This window comes from Homo sapiens, chromosome 7, assembly GCF_000001405.40.
Source record: "Homo sapiens chromosome 7, GRCh38.p14 Primary Assembly".
Lineage (NCBI taxonomy): Eukaryota > Metazoa > Chordata > Mammalia > Primates > Hominidae > Homo > Homo sapiens.
In genome coordinates, this window is record NC_000007.14 from 11,332,678 (window position 1) to 11,341,744 (window position 9,067).

The following is a 9,067-nucleotide window of genomic DNA, read 5'->3' on the forward strand; positions in this document are numbered from 1 at the left end:
GTAAAATGCTGACATGAACTGGAAATGGTCTGTGGTGTTGCGGTTCCAGTTATGAGTGGCCCTGAAAGACAGTAGAGAAGGTTAAGTCTCTTTGTGACCAGAACACAAAGCATAACAATTTACTGTTTATTTTGCTAAAAGGAAATGTGGCCTGAAATCATGATCTATACTAATTTCTAGGCAACAGTTATTGTCTAGTTCTAGTTGGGGAAGATCAAAATTGGAATATTGGTGACAAGAAGGTTAAGAGATGTGTTGGTGTGGATGGATCTCTCAGAACGCATTTAGAGGATGAAAAGGGTTGTATCTTATGTACGCTTTTCAGAAGACTTTCACTATAGAAGAGGCCCTTAGTAAATCAGGTAGACAAAATGACCCATAGTTGTCAGTCATTTCCCTTTATTAGACAGTAAGGTATTTAATCAGTGGGCTCATGAACAAGGCAGACATGGTACAAAGATAGATGTTAGGCTTGTTGTAGGCTCAACTGCATGAATGTCTCCTCACTGGGCCTGACTTGCCTACTATCATTGCTAAGTGCATGATTTTTCAAGCAAAAGAACCCAATTCTGAACACCAATCTAACGTCAAACCTCAAGGGTGCTTTTTAGGTACCAGGTAATTCAATTAACTAAATTGGGTAATTCTCATCAGTGAAAAAATCGGAATTTTTTTCCCATATTAGAATAGTTATGCATAGTCTGGATTTGGATTTTCTTTATCTTCTATTTATTCCTCTGTATCACCATGTGTGAGTTTACTGAAGGTTGTATACACTGTCGGAATAAACTTATTACCTCCAAATTCACTTCACAGCAAAAGTGGCAAGGCAATGGGATCATACCCAAGGGAGTAATGCAAACAATCATATACCCCATCATTCAGAAAATGCTGGCCTGATAGGATGATTCAGTGACCTAATAAAAATCCAGCTGTGACAGGAGCTGGCAGTTATCACCTTGCAATTTTAGAGAGTTATTTTATAAAATGTACTGTGTAGTCTGTACCTGTTATTGACAGATTGGTAGAGAAAAAATCCACAATGTCTCTGGAGCAGCCCTACTTTCTTTTCTTTCTGAGAGTAGTTATTCAAACTTTTCTTCATTTTATAAAATTCTTTGGTATATGTCCAAGAATCTCCCCCTTTTCTGTTGGAGTCTGTCAGTTGGTTGAGTTGCTGCAACCAAAAGAATCTGAATTTATGTTCTTGGTCTGCTTTTTAATGTGGTTGTTTGTTTTTTCTTATAAATTTGCTTAAGTTCCTTATAGATATTGAATATTAGACTTCTGTCAGATACATAGTTTGCAAAAATTTTCTCCCATTCTGTAGGTTGTCTCTATACTCCGTCGATAGTTTCTTTTGCGTGTACAAGCTCTTTAATTAGATTGCATTGGTCAATTTTTCCTTTTATTGCAATTGCTTTTGGCATCTTCCTTATGAAATATTTGCCCGTACCTATGACCTGAGTGCTATTGCATATGTTGTCTTCCAGGTTTTTTATAGTTTTAGGTTTTACATTTAAGTATTTAATCCATTTTCAGTTAATTTTTGTATATGGTATAAGGAAGGGGTCCAGTTTCAATATTCTGCTTATGGCTAGTTAGTGATCTCAGCACTATTTATTAAATAGGGTATCCTTTCCCCATTGCTTGTTTTTGTCAGGTTTGTTGAAGATCCGATACTTGTAGTTGTATAGTCATATTTCTGGGTTCTGTATTCTGTTCCATCGGTCTATGTGCCTGTTCTTGTACTAGGTCCATGCTGTTTTGGTTACTGTAGCCCTGTAGTATAGCTTGAAGTCAGGTAGCACGACGTCTCCAGCTTTGTTCTTTTTGCTTAGGATTGCTTTCACAATTTGGGCTCTTTTTTGGTTCTACATGAATTTTAAAATAGGTTTTTTTTTTCTTCTAATTCTGTGAAGAATGTCAATGGCAGGTTAATGGGAATAGCATCGAATGTATAAATTGCTTTGGGCAGTATGGCCATTTTAAAGATATTGATTCTTCCTATCCATGAGCAAGGAAAGTTTTTCCATTTATTTGTGTCAATTCTGATTTTTTTTTGAGCAGTGTTTTGTAGTTCCTCTTGTAGAGATCTTTTCATTTACCATGTTATCTATATTCCTAGGTATTTTTTTTTTTTTTTGGCAGTTGTGAAAGGGAGACATGCATGAGGCCAACAAGCATATGAAAAAAAGCTCAACATCATTGATCATTAGAGAAATGCAAATCCAAACGACAATGAAATACCATCTCACGCCAGTGAGAATGGCCATTATAAAAAAGTCAAAAAATAACATGCTGGTGAGGTTATGGAGAAAAAGGAACAGTTACACACTGTTGGTAGAAGTGTAAATTATTTCAACCATTGTGGAAAACAGTGTGATGATTCCTCAAGACAGAAATAACATTCAACCAAACAATCCTATTACTAGGTATATATATACCTAAAGGATTACAAATCATTCTGTTATAAAGATATATGCACGCATATGTTCATTGCAGCACTATTCACAATAGCAAAGACATGGAATCAATCCAAATGCCCATCAATGATAGACTGGATAAAGAAAATGTGGTACATATACACCATGGACTACTATGCAGCCATAAAAAAGAATGAGATCATGTCCTTTGCAGGGACATGAATGGAACTGGAGGCCATTATCCTTAGCAAACTAACGCAAAAACAGAAAACCAAATATCACATGTTCTCACTTACAGGTGGGAACTAAACGATGAGAACACATAGACACATAGAGTGGAACAACACACACTGGGGCCTACCAGAGAGTGGAAAGTGGGAGGAGGGAAAGGATCAGGAAAAATAAATAATGGATACCAGATTTAATACCTTGGTGATGAAATAATCTGTATAGCAACCCCCCATGACACACATTCATGTGTGTAACCTGCGCATCCTGCACATGTCCCCCTGAACTTAAAATAAAAGTTAAATAATCTTAAAATCTAAAGTTTCCTTTAAAAGTCTTCTTTAAAAAAAGATTATAAGAGAAGCCCTAATGATCACTTCATTAAGGCAAATAAAATGGTTGACGATTTTTCAAGAATTTGACAGACATTTTAGTTGTCTGCCTAATATTCATTATCCTGTGCTTTGTTTCTAAAACAAATTCTGATGTTTTTAAGAAAGCAAGTACTCAACCTTTTTTTTTTTTTAGATTACTTTGGCCAGCCTCTTTTGCAACTGGGGGTGTGTAAAGAGGGACATAGTTCTAGCAATGTAATGTGTGTAGATGTTGCTCTGAGGAAAGCTCTTGAAAGGGATTAATAAACCTTTTGCCTTTTGCATTCATCTCTTTTTCCTGCTTGGAATGCAGAGGGAGTTGAAGCTGGAGCAGCTATCTTGTGCTATGGATCAGTAATGTAAAGCAAATCCATTTGCGAGGATGACAGCAGAAGAATAGGAGTTGAGACTTATGTCATTGTGAAATCCTTGGACTAACCCTGGATTGCCTACATTTGGACTGATTTTAATCAAAGAAGAGTTTACCCACTTTCATTAAACAATTACAGCTTGAGTTCTATTACACTCAGCTGAATGCAATACTGAACGGACACATAGCTTGTCTTCTTTTTATTACGGTTTCAAGACAGAACAAACATCTTTGCATTTCCATATGATGACAGAACTATGCAAACGATTTGAAGATTTTTAAAACACAATTTATGGCCATACTTACAAGGATTCAAATATCTAGTAACTTTTGTTAGAATTGCTATGATTTTAGCCAACAAAAGGAACACAGACGAGGAATTTAGGGCAAAATAAATTCTGATGTACCAATTGTAGGCACATTTGTTTATCTTTAAATTATTTCCCCAAACATAAACATTACCTTATTATTTTAAAGTGCTATTTGTTCTATACCAACAAATTCTGTCATCACCAGGGAATGTGTTTTTCCCTCCAGTGGTGCTGATAGATTTGTGTTTTACTTTCAGCTCTGCAGAGCTGTCTCCAGATTTCCTTGAGGAATATTCACATATGCTTTTACAAGCAGTTGTTAGTCCACTGCGAAAATTTTTTCCAGAGCTGACTCAAGGGTCTTGCCTTTAGTTTCCCTTGTTCTCCTTCTTATTAAATAATCTCAGAGATTTTGTACATGCCCATCTGGGGGTTTTCCATTCTAGTTGTATTGGATTTTGTGTCAATATATCTACCATGTCAAAACCAGAAATGTAAACTTCAAGAGCCCCCAGGTGCTAACACTGCAAAATCTAGGCCAAAATCTAGACAGAGGTTTAGCATCGTGAAATCTTAAAGCGGCAGGGACCGTTGGGATTATGTTACTTAAACCCTCATGTCAAGGTGCATAGACAAAGGCTAAGAAGGTAGAGGGCCTATTCTACACTATAATCTGAGTCAGGGAGCTGGGAACAGAACCTTAATTTCCAGTTTAGTGTCCTTTCTAGCCTTTATATTTATCTTTCTTTCCTCTATTTAGGTCTTCCCCCCGATACTTGGTTTTTCTTTGAACTTCCTTCCAAGTGACCATTTATAGTCTTTTGTATTGAGGTCTCAGAGTCTTACTAAGAATTCCCTTCCTGGCATTGCTACCCCTTCTTGTATTTTATTTTATTTTATTTATTTTATTATTATTATTTTTGAAATGGAATCTCACTCTGTCGCCCAGGCTGGAGTGCAGTGGAACAATCTCGGCTCACAGCAATCTCTGCCTCCTGGGTTCAAACAATTCTCCTGTCTCAGCCTCCCAAGTAGCTGGGATTACAGGAACCCACCACCACACCCAGCTAATTTTTATATTTTTAGTAGAGATGGGGTTTCACCATGTTGGCCAGGCTGGTCTTGAACTCCTGACCTCAGGCGATCCGCCCACCTTGGCCTCCCAAAGTGCTGGGATTACAGGTGTGAGCCACCACTCCCGGCCCCATTCTTGTATTTTAAAGAATTACTAAATTAGGTTCCTATGTCTGCTCTAATAAAATACCACAAACTTGATAGCCTAAAACACACATTTATTCTTTTACAGTAATGTAGAACAGGAGTCAGAAATGGCTTTCACATGAAAAAATCAACAACAACAAAGCCTCACAAAAAACAAACAAAAAAGAAATGGCTTTCGCTAAGCTGAAATCAAGGTATCAGTAGGTCTGTGCACACTCCAGGAATATATGTTTCCTTGCATGTTTTAGACTCCAGTATTGCTTGGCTTGTTGTTTCTTCCTCCACCTTCAAAGAACGTCCTTCCAATTTCTGCTTTCATCTCTGCTAAAACTGAATCTCACTCTGCCTGTCTCTTATAAGGACACTTGTGATTACCTTTAGGGCACAGTGGATAATCCAGGATAATCTTCCCACCTCAAGAGCCTTAACCTAATCACACCTGCAAAGTTACTTTTGCCAAATAAGGTAACAACATTTTTGGTGATTATTATTCAGCTGATCACAAGTACTCATTCCGTTTCTTGACCTTTTTTGGCCACCATGTTCCAGGGTGCACTAACATCTGAGTACATCTTCTGAACACAATTTATATCCCCAAATTAAGATATTTGTATAGGCCAAAGCATTTGTCTGCATTTTAAAACTTGTTCTGAGGATGATTCTGTCTTTGTCAAGATGACAGACCTATACTGTATAAAATTTAGACCGCTTAGTTATCGTATTTTTCTGCCATAAGGAATAGAGAAAACAATGCCAGTTGAGAGAGAAGCAGGGGCGGGGGGAGAGGGGTGGGGAGGAGAGAGGGAGAGAGAGAGAATGAATATGATTGAAGAACATATACAGCAGAGACGGGGGTGCGAGACCTACCATGATCCTAATGCCATTCTTGAGGCCCATCTACCGTCTGAGTTTCTGCCCTTACCTTGGTCTGCTGGTCAAGTCTTCCTTAGTTTCTGCAAGACACTTTCACATCTTAACAAAAATTTTATTTTCTTCTGTTAAGCCTGATTTTGTTGCTCTCAATTAAGAGCCTTAGCAAATGTAAGAATATAAATATTGAGAGAGAACATGGCTGTTATCAGGTTAGGAAGGCCAAGACTTGTAGATAAGAATCAAACTTTGCATCCCTTGACATTGGATATTGGGCAGTCTCCGGGCTGACAACTGGGAGGTGAGACACAGCTTCCAAGACACTTTGTTAATGTGTCTTGTAAATGGTTTAGAAAAGTCTAGGTGTTATCTAGTAAGAGCAGGTGATTTTGACAACCAAAAAGTTGGGAGGGGAATATTTGTGGCATTAACAGAATGGTTTTTTCTATTTCTTGAAGCACTGTTACTTAATCTCTTAATATTAATATCTTAGTTCAAGGTATTTTAGCAAAAGGACAGGTATTTCATTAGGAACAGTCTGTTAAAGTAAAGAAAGAGGACAACATGGAGAAGCTCCTAACCTCCTTGAAAGTCCCTAATTACAAACAACATCCTTGAAGTTGTTTTGGAGATTTTATTTAGAACTCAGGTAAGCAGACTTCCAAAGGCCATATGGAAGAACTTTCTTGATTCTCACTTTTCAGTTGCAAACCTGTCTGAAAATGTTTCCAATTTAAAATAACGTTAATAATCCCTTAACTGGCAACAGATAGCCAGCCAGAGGAAGAATGGGGAAGAAAAGGTGCCTCGGGAGAGGGGGCTGACAAGGGTAATTGTGGCGGAGGGGGCAGTGACAGGATTCCCATTCCTATGGTTTTGTCTAGGGTTGGCTGCCCCACTCATAACCATTTCATATGTCTAATGCCCAAGGGTGGAAACCTATATTCTTTCAAACTTGATGAACAGCAATCAAGTTTTGTTTTTAATGCATATAGTCTACCACTTCAGTGGGATTTGAGAGACTTTCAAATTGAAGAGGAAAATTTAGCTGGCATACCTAGTATCAAGTCTGGCAGCATGTATGACACCCTTCTTAACCCAAGAACTACCTGATTTATCAATGTCTAACTTTCCAGACTTCTCGGGAGTCAATCAGTAATCCCCACCTAATGCAGAATGAATTATAGCATCTAGGACACTGGAAAAAGAAAAGAAATTCTTATGAAATAAAAGGGATGAAGAAGATTGCCAAAGGGGTTGGGGGCCGTGCCCGTGCATTGGGGATGCTGGTGGGGCAGGGTGAGGGGAGAGACGATGACAAGGAGTTCAAGGCAGCGAGAAGAAGGGGAAATCCTTTGAACAAAATGGCATGACAGCCCACTACATTTTCCCCAGGAGGAGGCTAATCCTCCTTGCAGCATAGAGCAATTTAAGAGTTCTGCTTTTTTCCTTGTTTCCTGTGAGGGATGGAGACTCCTCATTGCTGGGGTTTCATTATAAATGTGACCTCAACTGACATGGCATCTCTTAATAAGGGGCAAGTCCTTCATGTATTTTTGATAGTGCACCAGTGACAAAATCCCTCTCAGTTTAGCAGAAAAATACCGCAAGAGTAAATTGTCAATGACAATATCAGTATACTCACTGGGCTTCAGGGATTAAGTGAATAGCAGCCATGGCCAGACCCTGACATGGCTTCAGGCACTTAAAAAAAAAAAAAAAAAAGCGGTCAAATTAAAGCCACATATATGAGGGGAGGGAAGCCTTCCTACCCCAGCAGGGAGATACCTTGATTAAAGCTCAGTCTGACCTTCCTGCTTCATCTCCACAGAAATTGAGACACATTTCCTAAATGGCAGGACTTTACAGAATCATAATGAGCAAGGACCAGGATGCTTTGCGTTAAATTTCCATCTTCATTCCTGGAGCAGGCAAAGGAGAAAATAAGAGAAGGTCTCTATTATTTGTTATCAAAAGAACAATGCAGCCCTCCCCTGTTTCTTTTGTGCAGAGACAGAATTATCTATGAAACAAGTAATTCATTCCTGGCCCCTTTAGGTAGCTTTTTTTGCACAGCTGATTTCTTAGGTTATTATTACTTAGTGGATGCCAGTAGTTTGATGGGAAATCTCCTTTTTTGAGGGTAATAGGTATTAGTAAATAATTCACCCTGGAAAACAACCCAAGCTTCAGGGAATTTAAAACAAAAACAAAACCCAACAAAACAAATCTGTTTTATAGATAATAAGGGTAAAAAACAGAGGATTTTACTTTTAGGTTCTTTGATGTTTCATTAAATCAAAATTACTTAAATTACAAAATGCTTAAGTAGTCTATGCAGACAGTAAGATTTGAGATTAAAATAACTTTTACCAATTTGGAAAATATATTTACTGCAAAATTCAATTTTTCTTTTTGTGTGTTAAAATTAAAGACAATAAAAACTGAATTCTTATATTATTAATACCCTCCTAACTTTATTTCCATATGAACTATAGAACCTGGCACCTTTTTGGTACTCAGTCAAGATGAAAACATTGTAATTTAATTGCCTTGGAAACAAGGTTCTAAATTGTATAAATATATATATTTTTAAGTTGAAAACAGTACCTCTATCCATCGTATGTTTACATAAGCAGTACATGTTGCTGTAAGTTTTTGGTGAATATATACTCACCCAAGAGAGGAAGATAAATTTTCTGAGGGTAAACAATGCTTAATAAAGAGAAAAATTCTATCAGCTTGTGTAGAATGAGATTACATAATCTCGAACAGCTCTCCACTGTCCCCATTGTCATTTAACACATTCTTTATGCTGGGTCAGGTCTGTGTTCTTGCAAATGATAAGCATGTGTGCAGTAGAATCTCACCTGTGCCTGCATAGAGGAGGAATGTATTCTGTTCACATCAGTGTTCCCAGATGAAGCCAAACATGTTTGTGTTTAGCAGCCATTGGTATGAAAGGAAAAAAAAATCTGGAGTGGAGAACGGAAGCAAAACACACCAACGTACTTTTCAAAACTGAGGACGTGCTGCTCTCTTGTGGAAATCTGTATTGCCAACTTGTAAAGCCTGGGCTGAGTTGCTTATGATTTTCCTAGACAAGACCTGGTTTAAAGTGGTCCACTTTGTCAGAATCTCAGAACCATATCTGAAATTTGAGTGCCATCCATACACAGGATTTCATTCATCATCTTGATGCAGAATCAAATCTACACCTAAAGGCTAGACTTGACCATTGTTCTTTTAAAAATGTTCGTTACATCT

The 9,067-nt window shown here is 37.8% G+C and overlaps 1 long non-coding RNA gene across 1 annotated transcript; it reads right to left on the minus strand.

Annotated features, from left to right (window-relative positions):
* Positions 1-2,095: 2,095 nt before the first annotated feature.
* LOC124901590 (uncharacterized) lies at positions 2,096-8,765 on the minus strand. Its single transcript, XR_007060212.1, has 3 exons — positions 8,671-8,765; positions 7,589-7,722; positions 2,096-7,504 (listed from the first exon to the last, which is right to left on the minus strand). It is a non-coding gene; the product is annotated as an uncharacterized LOC124901590 (long non-coding RNA).
* Between the last annotated feature and the right edge of the window lie 302 nt (positions 8,766-9,067).